This window comes from Homo sapiens, chromosome 1, assembly GCF_000001405.40.
Source record: "Homo sapiens chromosome 1, GRCh38.p14 Primary Assembly".
Taxonomy (NCBI): domain Eukaryota; kingdom Metazoa; phylum Chordata; class Mammalia; order Primates; family Hominidae; genus Homo; species Homo sapiens.
In genome coordinates, this window is record NC_000001.11 from 243,593,186 (window position 1) to 243,620,166 (window position 26,981).

Here is a 26,981-nt window from a genome sequence, read left to right on the forward strand (position 1 = left end):
TGCCACAATACAAAACCAGACAGAACTATTACATGAAAAGATGAGTACAGATCAATATCCCTCAAAATCATAGATGTAAAAACTTAACAAAACTTCTCTAATTCAATTCCAACAACATATAAGGATGATAATACATTATGACTAAAAGATGGTTAATCTCAAGAATGAAGACTGGCTTAACATTTGAATGTCAATGTAATTTATCAAATGTACAAACTAAAAAGAAAGCCGGGCACAGTGTCTGTAATCCCAGCACTTTGGGAGGCCTAGGTGCGTGGATCACTTGAGGGTAAGAGTTCGAGAGCAATCTAGCTAACATAGTGAAACCCCAACTCTAATAAAAATACAAAAATTAGCTGGGTGCAGTGGTGGGCACCTGTAGTCCCAGCTGCTTGGGAGGCTGAGGCAGGAGAATCACTTAAACCTGGGAATAAACCTGGAAGCTGCAGTGAGCTGAGATCACGCCACTGCACTTCTGCCTAGGCGACAGAGTGAGACTCCGTGTCTAAATAAACAACCATATGATCACCTCAATGGAGGCACAAAAACCTTTAAAGAAAAGTCAATGTCCACTGATGGTAAAATATTCTAGGAATAGGAGAGAACTTAACCTAATAAAAGGTATATATGAAAAACTTATGACTAACATCACACTTAATAATAAAAGACTTAATCTTTTCCGAGACAGGGAACAAAAACACAATGTTCGCTACTTTTGTTCAACACTGCACTAGCAGTCACAGGCAGTGAAAGATGCATAGACAGATAGACAATTAAACAGACAAATATATACATGCCATACAAACAAGAATGGAAGTAAAACTGCTATTATTTACAAAGAGCAAGACTATCTACATAGACATTTCAAAGAAATTTAGAAAAAGGGTTTCTAGAACTAATAAGTGAGCTTAGGAAGGCCATGGAATACAAGGTTAATATATAAAAACCAACTATATTCTTATATGCTAACAGCAAACAATTGTAAATGGGAAAAAATTGGAATAGGTAAAGAAAAATTGAAAAATTATACAAACCTATACACTAAAACTACAGTGTTTCAATAGACATTAGAGAAATCCATAAGCAAACAGAGTGTGTGTCCATGGATTAGAAGACTCAATATTCTTAAATAGATTTATGGATTAAATGCAATCATAATCAAAGTTACAGCAGACTTTTTTGTAAAAATTGACATGATAATAAATTTATATGAAAATGCAGAGGACACAGAAGAGTCAAAACAATTCTGAAAAAAGAACAAAGTTTTTCTCTATTTCAAAATATACTCCCAAAGCAACAATTATCAAGTTAGCGTGGTACTGATGTAAAGAGAAACTCAAAGATCAATTAAACAGAATAAGACAGTGCAGAAACAGACCCATATGTGTGACAAACTGATTTTCAACAGAGGTACCCAAGTCACACAATCAGAGACAGGGTCTTGCTGTGTTGTCCAGTCTGCAATGCAGTGGTATGAACATGGATCACTGCAGCATCAACCTCTTGGGCTCAAGCAATGCTCCCAATTCTGCCTTGCACCACCAGTCCAGGCTAATTTTTTAAATTTTTTATTTTGTAGAGACAGGGTCCTGCTGTGTTGCCCAGGCTGGTCTCGAACTCCTGGACATAAGTGGTCTTCCTGCCTCAGCCTCCCAAAGTGCTGGGATTACAGGTATAAGCCCCCATGTCTGACTAAAGGACAGCCCTTTCAATGAAAGATAGTGAAAGAACAAGATGTCTGTAGGGGGAAAAAAATGAACCTCAACTCTTAGCTCACAGCATACATAAAAATTAAAATGGATCACAGACCTATACATGTAATAGGTACAACTTAAAAAGTTTTAGAAGAAAATACAGTCATGCACTGCTTAATGATGGGGATACATTCTGAGAAATGTGCAATTAGACAATTTCATCATTGTGACAACATCCTAGGGTTTACTTACATAAACCTAAATGGCATAGCCTACTACTTCTAGGTACAGACCTGTACAGCATGTTACCCTACTGAATACTCTAGGCAGGTGTAACACAATGATATTTGCACATCTAAACACATCTAGAAAAGTACAGTAAAAATATGATATAGAAGATTTAAAAACGATATACCTGTCTATTGCATTTATAATACCATGAATGAAACTTGTAGGACTGGAAGCTGCTTTGAGTGAGTGAGTGGCGAGTGAATATGAAGGCCTAGGTGATTACTGTAGACTATGAACACTGTATAATGTATAAAATAATTAAAATTATTTTTTTCTTCAGTAATGAGTTAACCTTTGCTTTCTATAACTTTTTCACTTTATACACTTTAAAATTTTTAAAAACGCCTTGACTCTTTTATAACAGTTTAAAATATGAACACATTGTACAGCTATACAAAAATATTGTTTCTTTACATCTTTATAAATATTTTTCTATTTTTTTTAACGTCTTTAACTTTTGGTTAAAAATGAAAACACAGCATATACGTTAGCCTAAACCTACACAGTCAGGATCATCAGTATCACTGTCTTCCACCTCCACATCCTGTCCCACTGTAAGGTCTTTCGGAGCAGGCATCGAGTAGTCATCTCCTACGCTAACAATGCCTTCTTTTGGAATATCACCTGAAGGACCCACCTGATGCTGTTTTACAGTTACCTATTTTTTTTTAAATAAGTGAAAGTAATACACTTTAAGAAACAATGAAAAGTACAATATATAAAATAAAGAAGTAACACAGTCATGTACTATCACAATCAAGTATTATGTATCTAACTGCATGTGCTATGTTTCTACACAACCGGCAGCACAGGTTTGCTTACACCAGCATCACCAAAACATGTGAGTAATGCACTGCAGTATGACTTACAACATTTACATCACTAGGCAATATGAATTTTTCAGCTACATTATAATCTTATGGTATTGTCATATACATGGCCCACTGTTGACAGAAACTTATTATATAGCACGTGACACATAACAAATAGGAGAAAGATGTGTGACCTGGGGTACACAAACATTTCTTGGACAGTACACAAAAAAAGTGAAAACCATAAAAGGCAAGAATTGATAAATAAGACATCAAAATTAAAAACGTCTGTTCCTCAAAAGACATCACTGAGAAAATGAAAAGGCAAGCTACAGTCTGGAAGAAACCATTTGTAATACAAATATTTGGCAAACTATTTGTAACCAGAACATCCAAAGAACTCCTATAATTCAGTAAGAAGATGAACAACCGAATAATAGGTGAAATATTTGAATAGACAGGTCACAAAAGTATATGCAATGGCAAAAAGTCTGAGTGAAGACATTTCCTATCATTAGTCATAAGAGAAACGCAACTTAAAACCACAGTAACATACTCCCACACACTCGTTAGAATGACTAAAATGAAAACCACTGACCACAGCAAGCACTGGTGAGGGTGCAGAACACCTAAAATTCTCATTACATTAATGCTGAGACTGTAAAATGACACAACAGTTTTAAATTTTTGTAAAATGTAAGCATATGCTTACCATAAATCCAACAATCATACTCTTCAGTATTAATTAAAGAGAAAAGAAACAGGCCTATCAGCTTTATTCATATTAGGCAATGACTGGTATTAATCCGCATGTACGTCACCAGTGGGAGAGATTAACAAATGGTGGTATAGCTGTGCAAAGGATAATGACTTCACAATAAAAGAAATAAATGACTGAGAAATGCAACAAAGTTAACAATCTCAAAAAACATTACGCAGAATGAAAGAAGTAGATACAAGACAGTATATATTGTATGAGTTCATTTCTGTGACATTTTTAAAAAGATGAATCAAATCTTTAGTGTCTGAAAGCAGACCAATGGCTACCTAGGGCCACGTGTGGATGTACTATGGGTACAGGGAAGACTGACTGCAAAGAGGCATGGCAGAACTTTTTGAGGCAATGAGAATGTTTTATATTTTTATTGTGATGGGGGCTACATGCATATATATGTTTGTCAGAAGTCATCTAATCATATACTTAAAATGAGTTCATTTCATTATATGTAAATTATACTTAAGTTGACTAAAAAATGAAAACAACCTAAACGTTCAATGATTTGGGAAGGTTTTAATAAGTTAAAGTGTATCTACATAATTAGTAGGCAACAAGTAACATATTTTAAAATGATAAAATTGAAAATATGTGTACAGTATAAACAGTGGAAAATATATTAACACGGTATTAGCAATTATTTCTAGATGGTAAGATTTAGAGTGGTTTTTATCTTCTGTTTCATACCTCAAAAAATACTTGTAATTATTTAATATCCATTCCCCAGAATACTATGCATTTTTGTTTTGTTTTGTTTTGTTTTGGTGACAGGGTCTCACTCTGTTGCCAAGGCTGAAGTGCAGTCGCATGATGGCTCACTGCAGCCTCAACCTCTTGGGCTCACTCAATCTTCCCACTTCAGTCTCTCGAGTAGCTGGGAGCACAGGCACTGGCTACCACACCTGGCTAATTTTTAACTATTTTGGTAGATACAGGGTCTCCCTATGTTGCTCAGGCTGGTCTTGAACTCTTGGGTTCAAGTGATCCTCCTGCCTTGGCCTCCCAAAGTGCTGGGCATGAGCCACTGGGCCTGGCCTATGCCCTTCTTAAATGCAGAGACCATCTGTCTTGCTCATGTAGTATACTAAGCACATAGTACAGTGCCTGCCTTGAAGAAAGCAGCATTCAATAAGAACTTTTTTGACAGAATTAAAATAATTTTTTTGGCTTTTTGAAGTTCTCTGTAATGAATGTACATTATCACTTTTGCAATAGAAAAAAATTATTCAAAGGTTTCAAATAAATGTACTAATAATTAATGTACTGATTTATGCTTATTATAAATTTAATGCTCTATTTTTTTCTTGGCAAAGGCATAGGAAAATGAGAAAATTATGACAGTACACCATATCTTTGCATCTTCAGCACCATGCCTAGTATATGACACATATTATATTCTTCATAAATATGTATTGCAAAAAATAAAATTAAATTCAGAAATACCTCTCAAAAAATTATAAGAAAAATCATCCTTAAGGTTTTTGAGGTAAAATATTTTCATTGGAAGTATTAAAAATCATATATAATAGTTGAATAATCTTATCTTTGTTCAAAAAGGAAAGTGAATTATTTGCTGCTAAAATAGGGAGCTTATCTTTATCAAGTTAAGTTCCTTTATAAAGGCAAAGACTACATAGTTTTTTTTTATTGTTAAGCTTAGCCATGCTATAGGAATACAGTAATGTAAAATGCATTAACTCAAACTACTAAATATACAAGCATATTTCATCATTCTATTAGGAAGAAATTTTCTCCATAACTCTCTCTCATAATAGCCTAACAGGAACTGCACTAGAGTGTAGCTGTACTCCCACGGTTTAGTAAGTGAACAGGTATTCAGCCCATCCTTGCAAAAAGATGACTGCATCTACAGCCGTGCCCTAAAGTCTCATGCTCAACAGGCTTCTCTCATCAGAGCACAGGAAGTTCCTTCCCACATACCCTTCAAATGTCAACCTAACACTACTTCCTCAAAGAGATAACTAAATTTATAGTAGGTTCTCCATCATTCTCTCTCATACTACAGCACTCTGTTGCCATTATATTTATTGGGTTTATTTTGTTTTATTATTTTATAATATGCATCTCCTTCTAGAAATCATGACTGTTTTATTCATCCTAGCGAACGCAGTAAGCATTTAATACATACTTTTGATTGAATGAGCTAATCTTATTTGGGGAACATACCTGTTCTTGAAGATTTAGTTCAAATGCACCTTTCCTCCTAAAATCTCCTGTATAGGAGAACATTTGTGGGGATGTTATTTTTATCGTGGTGATGATTTCATGGGTCAAAAGTTATCAGATTGTACACTTTAAATATGTACAAATTATTTATAATTTGTTATTAACTCAGCAAAACTGTTTTAAAGAAAGGGAAACATCTTAAGACAAAATGCAGATTTTCTCACACAAATAAAAGCTAACAAAAGTTACGGCTATCAGACCTGCACTACAAAAACAAATGCTAAAGGAAGTTTTTATGCAAAAGGAAAATGTAATAGATGAAAATGTATACCAACACAAAGGAAAAGAGAACACTTAAAATGACTACTTTATGAATATAAAACATTTTTTCTATTAAAAATTATTTTAAAGATAATTGCTTAAGGCAAAAACAGTGTATTGTAAAGGTTAAAAAATACATGGAAGTAAAATGTCTGAGAACAACTGCACAAAAGACAGAAGGCAGGGAAACAGATGTATGCCTTTTAAGGTTCAGATAGAAGGTAAGAAAATAGACGTATGCTGTTATAAGGTTCTTACAGTACAGGTAAAGTGACACAGCATATTGTTTGAAAGTCTACCGTGATGAGAAAAGATACATATTCTAAACCCTAAAGCTACCACCATAAGAACAAAGAAGCAGAGCTAATCAAACTAAGATTATTTAAACTCATCAAATTACTAATAGAAATTCTTCAACTTTTAATAAAGAGCATCTACGAAAAATCTACAGCTAACAACATGGTTAATGGTGACAGTATGAATGCTTCTGCCCTAAAATTAGGTATAAAGCAAGGATATTTGCTCTTATCCTGCTCTTTAACACTGTTCTAAACATCCTGGATAGTTTAATAAGGCAAGGAAATGTACACATATTAGAAAATAGCAGTAAAACTGTCTTTGTTCTCACCTGACATGATCATCTACATAGAGAAATCCAATATATTTACAATAAAAGACTACTAAAACTAATATTAGTATGGCTAATAAGTAAACATCAACTGTATGTCTATATATTAGCAAGAATCAACTACAAATTGAAATTTTTAATAATGACTGATAAACCATTTATAACTTAAAAACATAAAATAATTATAAAGTATCCCTAAGGATAAATTTTTAAAACTTTCAAGACCTGTACACTAAAAACTACATAATATTGTTGAAAGAAATTAAAGACTTAAATAATGGGAAAACATATACCATATTTATGAATCAGAAGACAACACTGTGAAACTGTCAATTCTCCCCAAATTGATCAACAGATTTAACACAATCACAATTAAAATCCAGGAGGCTTTTATGTAGAATTCAACAAGCTTACTCTATAATTTATGTGGAAATGCAAAGGAAATTGGATAGCAAAACCAAATTTAAAAAGAATATCAAAATTGAAAGATTCAAGCTGCCTGATTTTAACACTTATTCTAAAGTAAGTGTGTGGCATAGTGAAGACAGTGTGGTATAGGTTTCAGGATAGATATAGACCAATACAACAGAATGCAGAGTCCAGAAATCGACCCACACATATATGACTGATTTTTGACAAGGGTACCAAATCATTCAATGGGAGAAAGACAGTCTTTTCAACAAATATGCTGGAACAGTTAGATATCACTTTGCAAGAAACAAATGAAACATGACCCTTATGTAGCAGTATACATTAAAATTAACTTGAAATGGCTCATAGACCTAAATGCAAGAGCTAAAACTATTAACACTTCTAGAAGAAAGCATAAAAGAAAATCTCCCCGACCTGCCACCACCCAACAGGTCTAGCTTTGACTTTAGAAAAAAATCTTAACAAACTTCAGTTAGAAAAAGATGTTTTAAAAACAAAATGTACAAATCATAAGAGAAAATAATCAATGAATTGTGTTTCCTCTAATTTAGAAGTCTGCCCTTCATACTGGTTGGAAAGCCTATCAGTGGTTTTCAGGGTGAGAGTGAGGGGAGAGAATTGACTTTAAAGAGACATGCGAGGCTCTGTTGTGAAAGAAACATTCTAGATCATGATTGTGGTGATGGGAAACTGCTTTATACAGCTGTCAAAACTCACTAAATTGTACAGTCAAAATTGATTAATTTTACTGAATGCTAACTATGCATTAAAATGCTGATTACAATAGATTACAACAAAAGTGTATTTTGGAACAATTTCCCATTATGAAATGAAAAGACAAACTATAAAATGGGAGAAAATATTTATAAAATATATATATGATAAAGCCCTTACATGAAATAAATAAATCTGACAACTCAATATTAAGACAACAACCTAATTTTTAAAACAGACAAAAGATTTTAAGATACTTCAAAAAAGATGATGTATAAATGGCAAATCAGAATAAGAAAAGAAGTTCAATATCATTAGTTATTTGAGAAATTCAAATTGAAGCTAAAAAATACCACTATACATCCACCAGAATGAGTAAAATTTAAAAAGACTACCATGCCAAGTGTGGTGATGTTGTCAAGTAACATCCTGGGAATGCAAAATGGTATGGCTGATTTTGAAAAGAGTCTGCAGTTTTTAATGAAGTTGATCATAACAAATGACACAGAAATTGCATTTCTATGTATTTACCCAAGAAGATTAAAAATATATATTCACACACAGATTTGTACTGGAATATTCACGAGCTTTTATTCTAATAGGCCCAAAATGTAAAGAACCCAAACGTCTATCCAGGGGCAACTATATAAACATATGACTGTACATCACACAACGGAGCAAAGCCATAAAAAGAAACAAACTACTGATATATGGAACAGTATCTATAAATTTTAAAAGTATTATGCTAAGTGAAAAATGGAGAACACAAAAGCCTGTAAGTATGTTTTCAGATTATAGTTTTTGATATTTAAATACTGTTTTGTGTCACTGCCCTCTTTTTCCTCCTCAGGGTTTCCAATTATACATATGTTGCTTCTTCTGTTTTCCCTCCCTTGAAATACCCACTCTGTGGTAAGCCAGCCTTTGTGTAAGAAGTTTGACTACCTTGAAATGGCCATGCTCTGCCATAACCACATGGAAAGGAATCATGTAAATACCCAGATGCCTGGCAGGCCCCTGCAGTTCCAGCCACTTGATCTGAGATTTTAGATTTGTAAGCAAGCATGTTACATGTTGAGGCTTGTAATAACATCTCCTAATAACTAAATTCAATGCATTCAATTACATTTAATGCAGTGAGATACTGGTTTAACCATTCATTTTTTAAAAATGTCTTTGAATTATGAAATTATATACTAAAAATGCTTCCCGACTTTACATTGCCTTTAGATGCTAATGTAAACATTGTAATGCATCCTTCTTGACTTGGGAATTTTGAAAAAGCATTGGGTGAAAAACAAAATTCTGATACAACCTACATAATATATTAATAACTAAAATAGTTAGCAAAGAAATTAGCTTGTCAGACACCTGACAATAAAGATGTTTATATACCTGAAAACTTTGTAAAATTTTAAAAATCATCACTATGAATATGAAATGATAATTAAATTAATTTAAAAATCACCCAGATCACACCTCCGTAAATTAGTAAGGAGAACTAGAATACTGACTACTGGTGCTTTTGTCTTATGTGAATTTAAAATGAGATAATTTTGGTTCACTGATAACAAAATGCCAGCCAAATGAGAAATCTGAATAAGCATGAGAATCTCAAGAATGGCAAGAACCTGAAAGCCGTATTGCAAAAAAATCAAATACATGTTATCAAAGAAATTAATATAGAGTTTACAATGAACTAAGTATGGACAAAAATAGTAGTACATAACTGAAACTGTTAGCTTCATTACAACCTACATAAAGAAAATAGAGGAATGTGAAGAATTTATCAGATGAATAGCATTTCTACACAATGATTTTCCTTTACTCCCCTAATGAATCTTTAACTTCAGGAAACTTCAGACTTGAGAGAGATTTGCAGAGGTCCAACAAATAAGCCTGAAATAAATGAAGCTATGAGTAAGATTTTGGAAACAAGTCCTAAGTAGAGACTTCCTAAACCAAAGAAAACAAAAACACCTCCTTAGTCAATTTTGTCTACTTTATTCTCCCAGGATATTTTTCTGCTTCTCATGTAAATTTAGTAACATTTAAGGAATAAAAAGAGAGCTGCCTGGATATATTAGCAGTGTGATTGGTCATATTATTAGAGAGATTTTACAATCAGTTCTACAAATGCCCCACTGAAATTGCACTGAACTCACTCTTACAACCTTGTTCTACTGGGCTCCAAACCAACCCTTTTACATTCTGTACTACAGCCAAGGTGCATACCTTGTACCAAACCAGAAAAGGAAGAATCCCTGGTAGTCTCCATAGGAACTATTAGATGGCAAATCCAATGGACAATTCTCAGTTATCATTGTACAGTATTTAATATACTCTGTTGTACCTAATCTCTCCTTAACTTCTAAGGCTTCTCTTGTCTGGCTCCTCCTGCCCAGGATCCTCCTTAGGCTTCTCTCTGCCTCTACACCTGTGCACTAGTCTCACTGCATCTACAGCTGTGTCTACAGCATGCCTTACTCTGGCATTTCCAGGCACCATCCTTGGCCACTGATGTTCTAACTGTACATACTTTCCTCACATTGGATATTTCCTCACTTCCTGGGTTTTAACACTGCTCATGATGCCTATTTGTATCTCTGATTTAACTCTCCCCACTCCTTGGCTGCCACACTAGGTGCCTCAAATATAGCATGATCTGCTTAAGAACTCATTCTTCTCCCTGTGTTTTCTATTTTTATAAATACTCCAGTATCCACAATTCCCCAAGCAGCAAACAGGAAATCATATGATACTTCTCTGCATATTTATTCATTAAATCCTGGTGATTCTAATAACTAAATATTACTAGAATTTGCTTCCTTCTAACACTGCTTCAATTAATAATCTTTTTTTTTTTTTTTTTTGAGATGGAGTTTTGCTCTTGTTGCCCAGGCTGGAGCACAATGGTGCAATCTAGGCTCACTGCAATCTCCACCTCCCAGGTTCAAGCAATTCTCCTGCCTCAGCCTCCCAAGTAGCTGGGATTACAGGCATGCGCCACCAGGCCTGGCTAATTTTGTATTTTTAGTACAGACGGGGTTTCTCCATGTTGGTCAGGCTGGTCTCAAACTCCTGGCCTCAGGTGATCCACCCACCTCAGCCTCCCATAGTGCTGAGATTCCAAGCATGAGCCACCACATCCGACAACCTTATCATTTTTATAAGTGAATTACTGAAAACCTTCTAACTGCAGCAACCTCCCAAGTATTTTCCTTGCTTCCACTTTTGTCCTCTCTACTTCAACCTCTATACTGCCAAGTATTCTTTCTAAACATTTCCCCCAAAGAAATTCTTCCATGATGCTCCACTGCCTTCATCTAAATGACTTGAGAGTGAAGATCTGTCTTAATGTGATTCTGACTACCTGTGCAGACTCTCTGGCTTTCCTCTGCAGAACTCTATGCATTATCCACACTGTGCTATATTCGGTGGGTGGGGGAACCTGTCTGCTCCTGTGTACTCTACACATGCCATTTTACCTGTGTAGGAATGCTCTCCTTCCCAACCTTAGTGATATAATGTATAGTTATTCTTACGTCTTAGCCTAGCAACCACTTTTTAAGAAGAGTTTCCTACTCTGGCACCCTTTGCTTTCCTTTCCTCTGCTCCTCAGGTTCATTAAAGTGCTCATTCTCTCCATGCACAGTAACCAGTATTATCAGAGCAACCATGTCACTGCAGTGTATACAAGTATTTTCTCATCTATCTCCCCAGTAAGTCACTCATCAAAGGAAAAATAGTATGTTTTCCTTATTTATGAATCTTCTGAGGTCTAGCCCACAGAAGTTGCTCATTATTTAATAGATGAATGATAATGTACTAGATTATAAAGTTAATCCATAAGGTATCAAAAATAATCAAATCACTCCCAAACATTCCTTAGAACGGTATTACACTGGAGACCAACATACTGTCATCTCTCGACATAGTTAAACCCAGGACAGTTTTCTATCTTTGGTACAATAATATAGTCTTTTTTCTTTTATTTTCTTTAGAGACAGGGTCTCACTCTGTTGCCCACGCTGGAGTGCAGTAGCACAACCATGGCTCACTATAACCCTGAGTTCCTCGGCTCAAGTGAACTTCCCACCTCAGCTTTCCTGATTAATTTACTAGGACTACAGGTACACATCACCATACATGGCTAACTTTTTTTTTTTTTTGACACGGGATCTCACCATGTTCGCCAGGCTGGTCTCAAACTCCTGGCCTCAAGCAATCCTCCTATCTCAGCTGCCCAAAGCACCAGAATTACAGGCATGAGCCACCAGGCCTGGCCAGAAAATAGTTTCTTTAAATGAACACCTGCAGTTACAATGCACTCAATGACATTTTATGTAAGTTTTGTATTTTAAAACACCAGAGTTTATATTCCATGAAGCTCTATGCATGGAAAGTAGGAAGTAACAAGGAGTAAAGAATAGCAAATTTATATCTCTCATCCTAAGGTCACTCTGTAAATACACTCATTGAGAAATTGAGAAAAAGAGCAGAATAATCACATCATTTAAATCAACTTGTCTATCTCAGCTATATCTTATTGAGCCCACTTCTTTGAATTCATATAAATTACATGCAACTATGATGAAATTCCATTGTACCAATACGACCGTAAGAAGTTAGGGCTGATTTTTCACAGCCAACATTTCTTTCACAATTCACTTTCATCAAAAATTTTTAGTGCTCCAAATACAGTCATGCATTACTTAACAACTGGGATATGGCCTGAGAAACTTGCTGGTAGGCAGATATGGTTTGGCTGTGTTCCCACCCAAATCTCATCTTGAACTGTAGTTCCCATAATCCCAATGTGTTGTGGGAGGGATCCACTGGAAGGTAATTGAATCACAGGGCTGGTTATCTCCATGCTGTTCTGCTGATAGTGAGTGAGTTCTGATGAAATCTGATGGTTTTATAAGGGGCTTTTCCTCCTTTGCTTAGCACTTCTCTCTCCTGCTCCTATGTGAAGAAGGACATGTTTGCTTCCCCTTTCACCACGATTGTAGGTTTCCTAAGGTCTCCCCAGCCCTGCAGAACTGAGTCAATTAAACCTCTTTCCTTTATAAATTACCCAGTCTCGGGCAGTTCACAGCAGCATGAGAACAGAGAATGGACTAATACAGTACATTGGTACCACAGAGAGTGTGGTGCTGCTGTAAAGATACCCAAAAATGTAAAAACAGCTTTCCAACCAGGTAACAGGCAAGGCTGGAACAGTATGGAGGGCTCAAAAGAAGACAGAAAAACGTGAGAAAGTTTGGAACTTCCTAGAGACTTGTTGAATAGCTTTGACCAAAATGCTGACAGTGATATGGACAATAAAGTCCAGGCTGAGGTGGCCTCAGATGAAGACGAGGAACTTACTGGTAAGTGGAGTAAAGGTGACTCTTGCTATGCTTTACCAAAGAGAATGGTGGCATTTTGCCCCTGCCCTAGAGATCTAAGGAACTTTGAACTTGAAGGAGATGATTTGGGGGTATCTGGTGGAGGAAATTTCTAAGTGGCAAAGCATTGAAGAGAACGCGGAGAAGAAAAGTTTGCAAAATTTGCAGCCTGACAATACAATAGAAAAGAAAAACCCATTTTGTGGGGAGAAATTCAAGCCCACTGCAAAAGTTGGCATAAGTAACAAGGAGCCAGATGTTAATCACCAAGACAAAGGAGAAAATGTCTTCAGGGCATTTCAGAGACCTTTGCAGCAGCCCCTCCCATCATAGGCCCAGAGGCCTAGGAGGGAAAAACAGTTTTGTGGGCCAGGGCCAGGGCCCAAAAGCAGGGCCCCCCAACCCGGCTCTGTGCAGCCTTGGGACATGGTGCCCTGCATCCCAACTGCTTCAGTCCCAGCTGTGGCTAAAAGGGACCAATGTACAGCTCAGGCCATTGCTTCAGAGGGTGCAAGCCCCAAGCATTGGCAGCTTCCATGTGGTGTTGGTCCTGCTGGTGTGCAGAAGACAAGAATTAAGGTTTGGGAACCTCCACCTAGATTTCAGAGGATGTGTGGAAACACTTGGATGACCAGTCTGCTGCAGGGGCAGAGTCCTCATGGAGAACCTCTGCTAGGGCACTGCAGAAGGGAAATGTGGTGTTGTAGCCCCCACACAGAGTCCCCACTGGGGCACTGCCTAGTGGAGCTGTGAGAAGAGGGTCACTGTCCTCCAGACCCCAGAACGGTAATCTACTGACAGCTTGCACAGTGCACCTGGAAAAGCCACAGACACTCAACACCAGCCCATGAAAGTAGCTGGGAGGAGGGATGTACCCTACAAAGCCACAGGGGTGGTGCTGCTCAAGGCCATAGGAGCCCACCTCTTGCATCAGCATGATCTGGATGTCAGACACGGAGTTAAAGGAGATCATTTTGGAACTTTAAGGTTTAATGACTGCACTATTGGACTTTAGACTTGCATGGGGCCTACAGCTCCTTTGTTTTGGCCAATTTCTCCCATTTGGAATGGGTGTATTTACCCAATGCCTGTACCCCCATTGTATCTAGGAAGTAACTAACTTGCTTTTGACTTTACAGGCTCATAGTCAGAAGAGACTTGCCTTGTCTCAGATGAGACTTTGAACTTGGACTTTTGGGATATTGCTGAAATGAATTAAGACTTTAAGGGACTGTTGGAAAGGCATGATTGTGTTTTGAAATGTGAGGATATGAGATTTGGGAGGGGCCAGGAGCAGAATGATATAGTTTGTGTCCCCACCCAAATCTCATCTTGAATTGTAGCTCCCAAAATCCCCATGTCATGGGAGGGCCCTGGTGCGTAATTTAATTATGGGGGTGGTTACCACTATGTGATTCTTGTGATTGTCAGCGAGTTCTCACAAGACGGTTTTATAAGAAGCTTTTCCCCCTTTGCTCAGCACTTCTTCCTGTCACCATGTGAAGAAGGACATGTTTGCTTCCCCTTCCACCATGATTGTAAGTTTCCTGAGGACTCCCCAGCCCTGCGGAACTGTGAGTCAATTAAACCTCTTTCCTTTATAAATTACCCCGTCTGGGGCAGTTCTTTTCAGCAGTGTGAGAACTAATACAGGCAATTTCATCATTGTGTGAACATCACAGAGTGACTTACACAAACCTAGACAACATAGCCTACTACACACCTGGGCTATATGGTATAGCTTATTGCTCCTAGGCTACAAACCTGTGCATGTTTGTCTTATCGGACTACCATTGTGCTATCCATCATTGACTTCAACATTGCTACATGGCATGTGACTTATATTGACAAACACATAAAAATCACAAGCATAATCAAGAGCATGCTAAACCCCTAACTCAAATTATAATTCAAGGTAAACTTTCTAGAGCATAGACTAAGAAGAAGATGCTATTGTTAATTAAAAATCAGTGAACAATAAGCATAAATTGAGTAAAAATTGGGCTAGTTATTTCAGCGAGGCCACTAAAGGAGCTCATCTTAGGGCAAAAACTTGATATAAAAAGATTTGAGTGTGCTGCCATTTTGGTATTATGAACTTACCAGAGCTTGCTTACAAAAGGCCAGTATTCTCACGCTCAAGTCCTTAGATGCCATACAGATCCTACCCCACTGGCTGAGTCTTGGTATATGTGTGGATTGTGCTAGTGTGAATTGTTTACGTGTGTTTATTGTTTCCCTTACTTTAAACCTATTTCAAAAATATAACTACTATGTTTAATACTTTTTCTACAGTAATTAAGTTTTTTGCTTTTTTTTTTTTTTTTTTTTTTTTTTTGAGACGGAGTCTTGCTCTGTCACCCAGGCTGGAGTTCAGTGGCGTGATCTTGGCTCACTGCACCCTCCGCCTCCTGGGTTCAAGCAATTCTCCTGCCTTAGCCTCCCAAGGAGCTGGGATTACAAGCATCCACCACCATGCCCGGCTAATTTTTTGTATTTTTAGTAGAGATGGGGTTTCATCACGTTGGCCAGGCTGGTCTCGAACTCCTGACCTCGTGATCTGCCCGCCTCAGCCTCCCAAAGTGCTGGGATTACAGGTGTGAGCCACGACGCCTGGTCGTTTTCTGCATTTTTATAAGGCATCCCTGGGCAGCATAAATGGCAAGGTGAACCCAAAGCAAAACCAAAATTAAACAAGTTGCCACAAGGATAAACACATCAAGCATAGATTTCCTCCCCAGTCATGATAAATCAAGAATTGAAATAATCCTACTATACTCCAAGAACTAAATAACTATTTTAAAATACATCTGATAATCTAAAAAAAAAAAAATTGTGAGGTTAAATATATAAAATTCTATTTCCTACTAAAGTTATTAAATATAAATAACTTTTCATTTTCTGTGTGTGTGTGTGTGTGTGTGTGTGTGTGTGTACCAACACTGTAATTACCTACGCATGTTAAAATTATACACCACATACAGGGAGGCCGAGGTGGGCAGATCACTTGAGGTCAGGAGTTCAAGACTAGCCTGGCCAACATGGCCAAACCCCGTTTCTACTAAAAATACAAAAATTAGCCAAGTGTGGTGGTGCACACCTATAATCCTAGCTACTCGGGAGACTGAGGCATGAGGACTGCTTGAGCCCAGGAGGCAGAAGTTGCAGTGAGCCGAGATTGTACCACTGTACTCCAGACAGGGTGATGGAGTGAGACCCTAGAGAATCAGTTCACTTGCTTCAAAATATTAAATAATACTTATCTATAGCCCAATCCAAAACAGAAATTCTGAAGAAAAACAAAGATATGCTGAACAAGAAAAATAATGTAGGAGTATTAATGCTAAAGAAAATCATCTGGCTAATCTGAAAATCTGCTTTTAGTGTAAAATTTTTTTCAATAATCATCAATTAATTAATCTTTAAGTACTCCGGGTTTAGAAAAGAAGTGCAGATGCCAGGTAGCGCCCTCTAGGAAGCTTTCCCTCATCCCACCAAAGTCCCACCATCTATCTATCTGTTATGATAGAAGTGATAATTATTTCACACTTAGTATTATTTTTGTACCCTTTCTCCAGTAGACTATAAACTCTTTGAGGGCAAGATCTATGTTTAATTCAGATTTCTATGCCCTAGATATCTACCAGAGTGCCTTCCACAAAGACTTAATACATATGTATTTTTGAAATAAAAAGATATCCTCTCCTAAATTTACACTTTCAGCTTTTTTAACAAAATAAACTGTATACTACATCAATTTCTATTTTTCTTCCTACTCCTCAGTAGTTCCTATTTTACCCCTTTTAGCTAACTTCTCTTATCCCTAATCCCTGAGGGAATGTTCATCCATTTGTTCACTTATTCATTCAAATAATCCAATGAATATTTGTGAAGCACCAACTATGTACAAGCAGTGAATAAGATGCTAGGGTTATACCGTGAACAAGCCTCTTAGAAAGCTAACACTTTGATGGGAAAGACAGACAAGTAAATAGGTAATTGTAAAACAATGTGAAAATTGTTACTATAGACATGAACACACAATACCGTTTAAAAAAGAGAGACATTTAATAGTGTTTTTCCAAGTTTTTGTCTGCGGACTGTTTTATCTGTCTTACTGTTTCCCTTGGTCATCCATTCATCCAACCATTTATTTGTCTGTCTACTTTCAACTATTAGATAATACATGTATGTGGCACAAAACACAAAAGATACTGAAAAATACATAAATGAAAAGTCTTCCTCCTATCTTATCCCTGGCCACTCAGTTTATTTTCCCAAAGACAAGCACTAATACCCAGTGCATAATTTCAGAGATACTCGATCAATAGACAAACATATATACACATGTTTACGGTCTAATTTTATTTTAACACAACAGAAGTATGCTTTATACTCGTCTGCACCTAGTTTTTTTAACTTCTATTAATGCCCATATTGGGCTGTCTCATTCTTTCAGATGGATATAGAGATTCCACTGCATGAATGTAACTTTATTTAAGCAGACTCCTTACGAATGCTCATTTAAAATGCTACAATGCTGCAATGAGTATACTTATCTATATATCATTCTGTGGTGCATCTGTACGTCTGTAGGATAAATTCTTAGAAATGAAATTGCTGAGTCCAAGTATAAGCGCATTTTAAATTTTGATAGATACTGATGTAAGAGGTTTCATCAATTTCATTTCCACCCCCATAACTTAAATTATAATCTTTATGGGAATGGCTGCCAAAACTGCATCCACAGTTTTGACTCTTTATCCACTCTCCATCATAGTTCCACACATACATTACTTTAAAAGCTTACGAAAAACTGTTTCAAAACCAAATTTATAAGGTTAACATGTTCTTCATAATTGCACTGTATCTGCTAAGGCTCCCAAATTCCAACCAAAAATCACTTTTCATTGTACCTTTTTGTTTCTACCAAGATCTAATTAATTGGTCATTAAGATGTAACAATATGGCCAGGTGTGATGGCTCACGTCTGTAATCCCAGCCCTGTGAAAGGCTGACGTGGGTGCATCACTTGAGGCCAACAGTTCAAGACCAGCCTAGGCAACATGGCAAAACCCTATCTCTACAAAAAAATACAGAAATTAGCCAGGCATGGTGATGCATGCCTGTAGTCCCAGTTACACAGGAGGCTGTGATGGGAGGATAGCTTAAGCTTAGGAGGTGGAAGTTGCAGTGAGCAGAGATGGCACCACTACAATCCAGCCTGAATGACAGAGCCAGACCCCATCTCAAAAAAAAAAAGATGTACCAATCCTACAGTTCCACAACATCCATTTTCTTCGTATTTTCTCAGACATCTTACTGCAAGGGCCCAGTTCTGTATTCCTGGGTTATTATTATTTAATTATCTTGTCCTATCATCCACCAGTGATTCTGCCCATCCCATCCTCTCTGCCTGAAACAACTTCTTACATCAATTCCCTGGGTGAAATCTCATTAAGCCTACTCTAAGTGCTAGATCATCCATAAAGCATTTTCTTTTATGACTTTATTAGAAGTTAGGTCTTTCACTATGCATTCTAATTTGTAATACACTAAGGGAAGTTATATACTCCTTCACAGCAAGGATAATATCTTAACACATTTTCATAAACCCATACTGCCTAGGCACTCAAAATGTGTTTACCAAATTAATGAATTAAGTTTTGGGTTTTGATTTTTTTTTTTTTATTTGAGACCAGGTAATGCTCTGTCACCCAGGCTGAAGTGCAGTGGCATGACCATGGCTCACTGCAGCCTTGACCTCCCAGGCTCAAGTGATCCTCCCGCCTCAGCTCCTCAGTAGCTGGGAGTACAGGAGCTGGGTGTGTGCCACCATGTCCAGGTAATTTTTTTATTTTTTGTAGAGACAAGCTTCCACTATGTTGCCCAGGCCGGTCTCAAACTCCTGAGCTCAAGTGATCCACCCGCCTCAGCCTCCCCAACTGCTGGGATTACAAGTCTGAGCCACCATGCAAGCCCTGAATGAATGAAGTTTTGCAACAAACGAATTCCTGCAAATCAGATAATTCTACAGGAAAAAAATTCCATAAAGGATATTTAATTATTTATTTTGGAAAATAAGAATATTTTAAGTTCATGAGACACAAACAAGACCCTATTTAATAATTAAATTTATTTCAGAAAGCCCACAATAAAAATATTTCCAGTTAGCTTTTCCAGTAAATTTACTTTTCCCTCACATTGACTGTGATCAAAACCAAGGAAGAGAAAGGAGAAGGAATAAAGGAATGAGTGAAATGTGCTAATAAAAATATTAAATTTATCTCCAAAATATTGTCAGTCTCTTAAATATAGTCATGGTAGGCCCGGCGTGGTGGCTCACGCCTGTAATCCCAGCACTTTGGGAGGCTGAGGCAGATGGATCACAAGGTCAGGAGATCGAGACCATCCTGGCCAACATGGTGAAACCCCATCTCTACTAAAAATACAAAAATTAGCTGGGTGTGGCGGTGCGCGCCTGTAGTCTCAACTACTCGGGGGGCTGAGGCAGGAGAATCGCTTGAACCCGGGAGGCAGAGGTGGTAGTAAGCTTAGATTGTGCTGCTGCACTCCAGCCTGACGACAGAGCGAAACTCCATCTCAAAAAAAAAAAAAAAAAAATTATATATATATATATATATACACACACACACACACACACACACATATATACCCACCCATATATATACATATACATATATACATACATATATATACACATATACACATATATATACACCCTCATATATACATACACACACACACATATATATATATATAGTCATAGTACTCTACTATAAAGAAGAGAAAACTCAGCCATAATGTGCCCATGGACTATTGTTCCACTGAGTTTAGAATGGGTAAAATAACTTTTGACCATGTTCACAGCCTACTTGAAAAGAAACTTTGTGAAACAATAAATCTTGTATTTCTGGTTTTCAAAATTTAATAACATGATTTCAAAAATCATACTTCTGTTAAAACTTTTTACATTTAAAAACACAGGAAAAAGAAGAATATGATTATGCTTTCCAACATATAAATGTAGTTATATAAAAACAATCATTACATCTCATCAGAAATAATTTCGCTCCCATTTGTTCAATAGTATTAAGAGCTACATAAATTCCTATCAAGAAATGGAGAACTGCTATATTGTAACTTGTATTTTAAGTAATGTTTTTAAAATAATGAAAATACTACCATGCAAATACTGGATTTACTTCTTGACTCACCTCGCCCCCATTAACATATTCCATCACAAAACACAAACGGTCTTTTGTCTGGAAGGAATATTTCAAGGACTTGAAATAAAAAAAAGAAAAAATGTTACATTATAATCCTGTATTCTTATAATTATAATAGTACTAAAAATAGAACACATAGAAATAGTAAGCATGAAAGATGAAAAGAATTGTTATTGTTTAAGAGTTTATTTACTACTTAAAAGTGCTTAAGAGTTTATGAGAAACATAAAACAAATGTTTAGTTCACAATAGGTATTATTACAAGAAAAACTAAAATTAAAATTTCAAGTAAAAGTAAACTTAATTGCAACAAGCACTTCTCAATCTAATTTGCCATTGATTTGAAGCTGCATTAGTACTCAAGGTTCTCATCCATGCAACCTCACAGCGTGGCCAACAAATTACACTAGTTGAAGTTCCTTAGGAATGTAGCTACGGTTGTTACACTCAGGTTTCTAATACAATGACAACATCACTTTTTGCATATTGAGTGCACAACAGAACCCAACCTAACAGAGTTGGTTTATATAATTTTGTAGGTTATATATAGGTTATTAAAAAATACCCAAATGCTATCTTATTACACTAGACAATAAACACACCAAAAAAGGTAGCAAAGTAAGTCTAGGTATCTACTGACAGCTCTGAAAATGTCTATTTCAGATATTCCAAACAGTGTAAAGGGTTCCACTTTGGAAAGTCTAGCTATTATTTTTCATCTCAATATAGTTCATTGGAACCAAGAAAATACAGAAACTTTACCAATTATCCCTATATTACAAGGAATCTAAGAACAGAACTAAAAAATCCAGTTTCTTTCAAGACAACTAAGTTGTAGGCATACCATATAATCAGTTTATACTTTGTCTAGTGAAAAAAACGTAGCATGGCTTATCCCACCTCTAATGTATTTAGCATTCCCATATTTCTTAAAGTACTCTATCCCTCAAAGAAGTCTCATTTCTATAAAATATATTCGATAAACATTTCTGCCTTCCATATTTGAAGAAATGCTTCTGATCATTAAGATATTTATCAGAAGCCAATAAAACAAACATAAAATCTTTACATTTAAGAAATTTTTAAAAATCAGCCATTTCCTCAATAGTCTCCTTAAAATGCCAGAGGTAATGTATTAACTCTATGGTTTGTTTTTGTTTTTAATGGCAAGAGATTCATGGGAGAAAAAAAATTCTCAAAAAAGTAATAAATGCATAATGGGAGGAATTATCAATGCATACACACTGTAAAAATCCATACATTCTAATAAGTTATAAGAAATTTGACTTACGTTCTTTCCACAAAGAAAATGAGATATCTAAATGAATAGTATTTTTCACAATTTAATTTCTAACATAAAATTCCTTAAATTTCAAATGTTACGATTATAACATCTGTCCTCTAGTCACTTACTGTTAAAAAGGGATGTCTAGTGTTCTTTAATACTCTGCTTTCAGTTAGAGTGTGTGCCACTTCATCCTACAAAAGAAAAAAAGCAAACCTTCAATATATGTTTTGAGCACTGATAATAATAATTTCACTATTTCTCTAAAATTGGAAGAGGTTAAGCCCAGAGATTGAAAAGGATTTTAAAACACAGTGGCATGCTTCCTTTACCACTCAGCATTCTCTCCACCAAAATACAAAAAAACTCAAATTAATGATTTAATTCAGATGATTGTATAAGTTCATATAAATTCACTCATACTTAATCAAAGTATATCAATAATGATACAAAAATCAGTCAGAAAATTATCAGGGACACAGAAAATTAAATATTGAGCTTTCCTCCTTGAAGGGAACAATTTATCAACTAATATTTCTGCATGAGGTAATTTAATATCTCCATGTTTGTAATACATTTTATTCAGGGGGATGAAAGGATATATTTCCCAATAAATATCAAAGAATTTAAAAGTCTCCTACTTTAAATAAATTAGTTATTAGAACACAGAATACACATGCAATATTTAGTTCTAAATTACACATTTTAGAAATAGAAAGGAACAGAGTATAAAAATATATACCTTTCTGCTTGTGGCTTTTTAATTTGCGTCTTAATTTTTAAAGCCAAGTTCTTGCTCTGTTGCCCAGGATAGAGTACAGTGGTACAATCACAGCTCACTGTAACCTTGAACTCCTGGACTCAAGCATTACTCCTGCCTCAGCCTCCTGAGTAGCTGGGATTACAGATGTGAGGCACCATGCCCAGCCTTATATGCTTCCTTATTTATTTTTTTAGAGATAGGGTCTTGCTATGTTGCCCAGGCTGAGCTCAAACTCCTGAGGATCAAGGAATCCTCCCGCTTCAGACTCCCAAGTAGCAGAGACTACAGGTTGTTTTTTTTCCTTTGGTTGGGGGCGTGGGTGTTACACATTTTTTTTTATTTCAATAGGTTTTTGGGGAGCAGGTGGTGTTACATGAATAAGTTCTTTAGTGGTGATTTCTGAGATTTTGGTGCACCCATCACCTGAGAAGCATATGCTGTACCCAATGTGTAGTCTTTTATGCCTCACCCTGCTTCCATCCTTTCCCCCAACTCCCCAAAGTCCACTGTATCCTTCTTTTGCTTTTTTGTCCTCATAGCTTAGCTCCAGAGACTACAGGTTTAATGTGCTTTTCTTAAAAAAAAAAAAAAAAAAAAAAAAAGCTCACAACCCTCCTACTGTAGGTGATCATTTTAAAATGTAAGTATATTTCAAACCAAAAATAAACTAAGAATGTTTTCCCCAACTTTGGGCATAAATCTCATATTGATATCAAAAGCAAACTAGTGTTTTCTTCAACATATGGAGAACTGGAGATAATGTTTCATATTTCAAAAGTAACACTATCTTAAAGAAGAAACGAAAGGAAGACAACTGCTGAAACGAACACAGCATCTCTGTTCTTCACTTCTGGCAAGATCTTAAATAAAGCCCTTGCTGAATCAATTTCTTAACACTGTCAGAAAATCAAAATTAGATGGAAGAAAGACATGAAAAGCAAAACATCAGGACACTGCATTATATTTGTTATCTTTATAAAAATATTTGACCTTAAACTCGAAAGATAATGATAACTAGATTAATCAAAGAAGCTAAGATCCCACAACCATTCAAAGAAGGTAAGATCAATTGTGTCTGAACAGAAAGTATAATTAACAACGAGTGAAGGAAAGCATAAACATGAAATCATCTCAGTCTTATTTGTTTTATAGGAGTCAGTTTTAAGTGCTCAATTTGAAAGCCAATGTCATATCGTACTATAGTTCCTAAGTTAATTAGAATAGCAAACATTGTAAAACAAAATAAATCAGAAGCAGAAATGACACCAGAACTTACTGATTTCCATATACACTGTGCCTAACATAATGGTAAGCATACAGCAGATACCTAATAAATGTCTATTGAACTGAATTGTGTATCATAGGAAAGAATTCCAAGATGTCAAGTGTGCAAGAGTTCATTCATCCATCCACCCACCCACCCACCCACCGACTTCTTCAACACATATGCAACAAGTATCTTCTGGGTATTCGTCTGCACATCAGAGACAGGACACTGAACAAATAGACAAAATTCTCTGCTCTCATGGAGCTTTAGTTCTACTTACATGGTGATCAGTGTTAATGGGAAAAACCAGAGAAGGGGATACTACAGTTAATGAGCATCACAGAGGGAATATGAAATACATAATTAAGCATTATACAAGTGGCTATTTTGTGATATACTGAACCAAGTCCATTCACTTAAAAAAAAAACTGCTGATGTGCACTCACTAATTGGTAAGAACAGTGCTGGTATAAGGTAACTTAATAAAAAAAATAAGATCCCATTGCTCACAGAGTTCATAGGCTAGTGGAAAACACAAACAAGTAAATTATCCAACTTAAATAATTACTCTTTCTGATAAGTGATATTAAGGAAAAAGTGGAGGTTATCCACTATTGTCAACGGGGCTGTAAGGGAGAACCAATGCTATTGGTAGAGTGTAAGTTGGGTATTGTGATGGTGTGGGACATAGAGAAAGTGATGGGGTGGGGGTGACATGTTTGTGAAAGTCTACTCACGTTCTTCTAAGAAGGATCAATTAGGAAAGCATTACATAACCCCAAGAGAGAAGTGAGGATGGCTTGGACTACTATGGTGGCAGCGGAAAAAGAAAAAGGGGATAGTTCTGAGATATAAAGTTAACAGTGCTAATATAAAAGTTACATGCCTCCAACATGAGAGTGAATCACAGACATTTTAATAGGCAGTTCAGAAAGAAATTCACAGAAGATAACATCTACCTGTTGTGGTTTAAGATGTTAAGTGATCTGGGTCAAGAAATTAGGAAAAGACTAGAGAAAAGTATGTATGAAATTTATTTAGAAATAGAAAAGATATTCTAGTGCTTTGAATATTTTCAGTGGGGTATTACATTCTATTTTGTTAAAACAGGCTTATCACGCATAATAGTTATTTTTCTAAATCACTTAGTAACTTTCATGAGGGAAGACTTTTCTACCCCCTAAATTTGTAATCTGACCACATCCAAGGAACCAAGTAAAGACGTATGGAGGCAAAAGCAAAAACAGTATTTGTTATGAGAATGGAACTGGAATGAACACCATGTACATACCAAAATGTATTTTCTAACATATTTTACAGCTGATCAGATTAGAATTTCTTCCCATTAATGCATATTTAATGGTACTGTATTTCACATACTAATTAGTTTCTGCTATGAAGATAAGGTATGCGCAAGCTAAAAAGTAAACACAGATGCTAATAATTTTTAATTACAGTTAAAAGCAACATGTCAAAACAAAAAGTTAAAAATAACAGTAGTAAAACAGTGACTAAAACAATGTGATGCCTTTTAAAAAATCCATCTGTTGATCATAATTATGAAGAGTTCTAGAAATGCTTGGGGATACAATGTATTTTTTTCATGGAAAAGCTTTTGAAATACAAATTTACATATATTTATCCATGGTAAAATAGTAAATAATGAACTTTTAAATCTAATTTCTTTCATAGAAGAATTAGGGGGAATGGGATTTTATTTCTTCAGGCAGAAGAATAGTCTTTTTAATATTTTATTTTCCCAATCCTCTCCAATTTATCATTCACCCTCTATTACACACGATCTAAAGTTCTCCTTTCATTTGACCCTCTCGATGTTTTGTGGTAATTAGGTTATTTGAGGGAATGAGGTGTAGGAGAGGGCAAACAAGAGGAGAAAAAGAAAATTTCTACCCTTAATGATCAAGAACACCATGAGTGTCATCTCCTTTAATCCCTGCACCAACTGATCCCACATCTAAGTTCAATAGTAAAGGTCATTTCTACTTCACAAAACTGCCTCCCATCTTCAAACAACCTACTATCTACTTCACTAGGTACTCTGCTCACATTATTTTCTCCAAATTGACCACAAGTCTAGTTGAAATCAAGACACATTCCGTCTAAACCATTTCCTCCATCCACCCAGAGCTATAAATGAGACCTAGAGGAAGACACGAATCAGGTGGGAGAAACGGGAAGAGGGTAGAGAAATGTTACTTTGGCACATGTTTTTTCGATACATAATAGTTGTATACATTTTCGGGGTACATGTGTTGTTTTGACACATTCCATATGTGTAATGACCAAATTAGGGTAATGGGGATATTCATCACCTCCAACCTTTAACTTTTCTTTATGCTGGAGACATTCAAATTCTTCTCTTCCAGCTATTTTAAAATACACAGTAGGTGGTTGTTAACTATAGTCGCCCTACTGAACTATCTAACACTAGGTCTTATTACAACTGTACTTCTGTACCTATTAATCAACTCCATCTCCCCATCCCCCTACCATTCCCAGCCTCTAGGAACAACCAATCTACTGTCTATCTTGATGCAATCCCGTTTTTTAGCTCCCACATAAGAACAAAAATGTGCAATATTTGTCTTTCTGTGCCTGGCTTATTTCACTTAACATAATGGGTTCCATTTCCATCAATGTTGCTGCAGATAACGTGATTTCATTCTTTTTATGGCTAAGTAATATTCCACTCTGTACATATATCGCATTTATCCTTTCATTCATTGATGGGCACTTAGGTTGATTACATATTTTGGCTGTTGTGAATAGTGCTGCAATAAACCTAAGGGTGTAGATGTCTCCCCGATATGATGATTTCCTTTGTTTTGGATATATATATGGTAGTTCTATTTTTAGTTTTTGAGGAACTTTCATATGGTTTTCTATAGTGGTTATACTGATTTACATTCCCACCAACAGCATAGGAGAGTTCCCTTTAGCATCTGTGATTTTTTTGTTTTTTTGATAAAAGTCATTGTAACTGGGGTGAGATGATGATATGGTTAGGTATCCACCCAAGTCTCATCTTGAATTGTAATCCCCATAATCCCTACATGTCGAGGGAGAGACCTGCTGGGAGGTGACTGGGATCAGGGGGCAGTGTCCCCCACGCTGTTCTTGTGATAGTGAGTGAATTCTTAGGAGCTCT

At 36.2% G+C, this 26,981-nt stretch overlaps 1 protein-coding gene across 12 annotated transcripts in view; it reads right to left on the bottom strand.

Moving 5' to 3' along the window:
* Positions 1-26,981, bottom strand: part of AKT3 (AKT serine/threonine kinase 3) — a 362,847-nt gene that overhangs the window by 104,953 nt on the left and 230,913 nt on the right. For 11 of the 12 annotated variants that reach the window (NM_181690.2, NM_001370074.1, XM_047420641.1 and 8 more), the window contains 2 exons: positions 21,911-21,976; positions 20,486-20,554 (listed from right to left, as the gene is read on the bottom strand). In NM_181690.2, coding sequence (NP_859029.1) covers positions 20,486-20,554; positions 21,911-21,976 — 135 coding nt within the window. Of the gene's footprint in view, positions 1-17,291; positions 19,850-20,485; positions 20,555-21,910; positions 21,977-26,981 lie in introns of those variants that run through there. The other variant, XM_024447938.2, reaches the window with a different exon arrangement.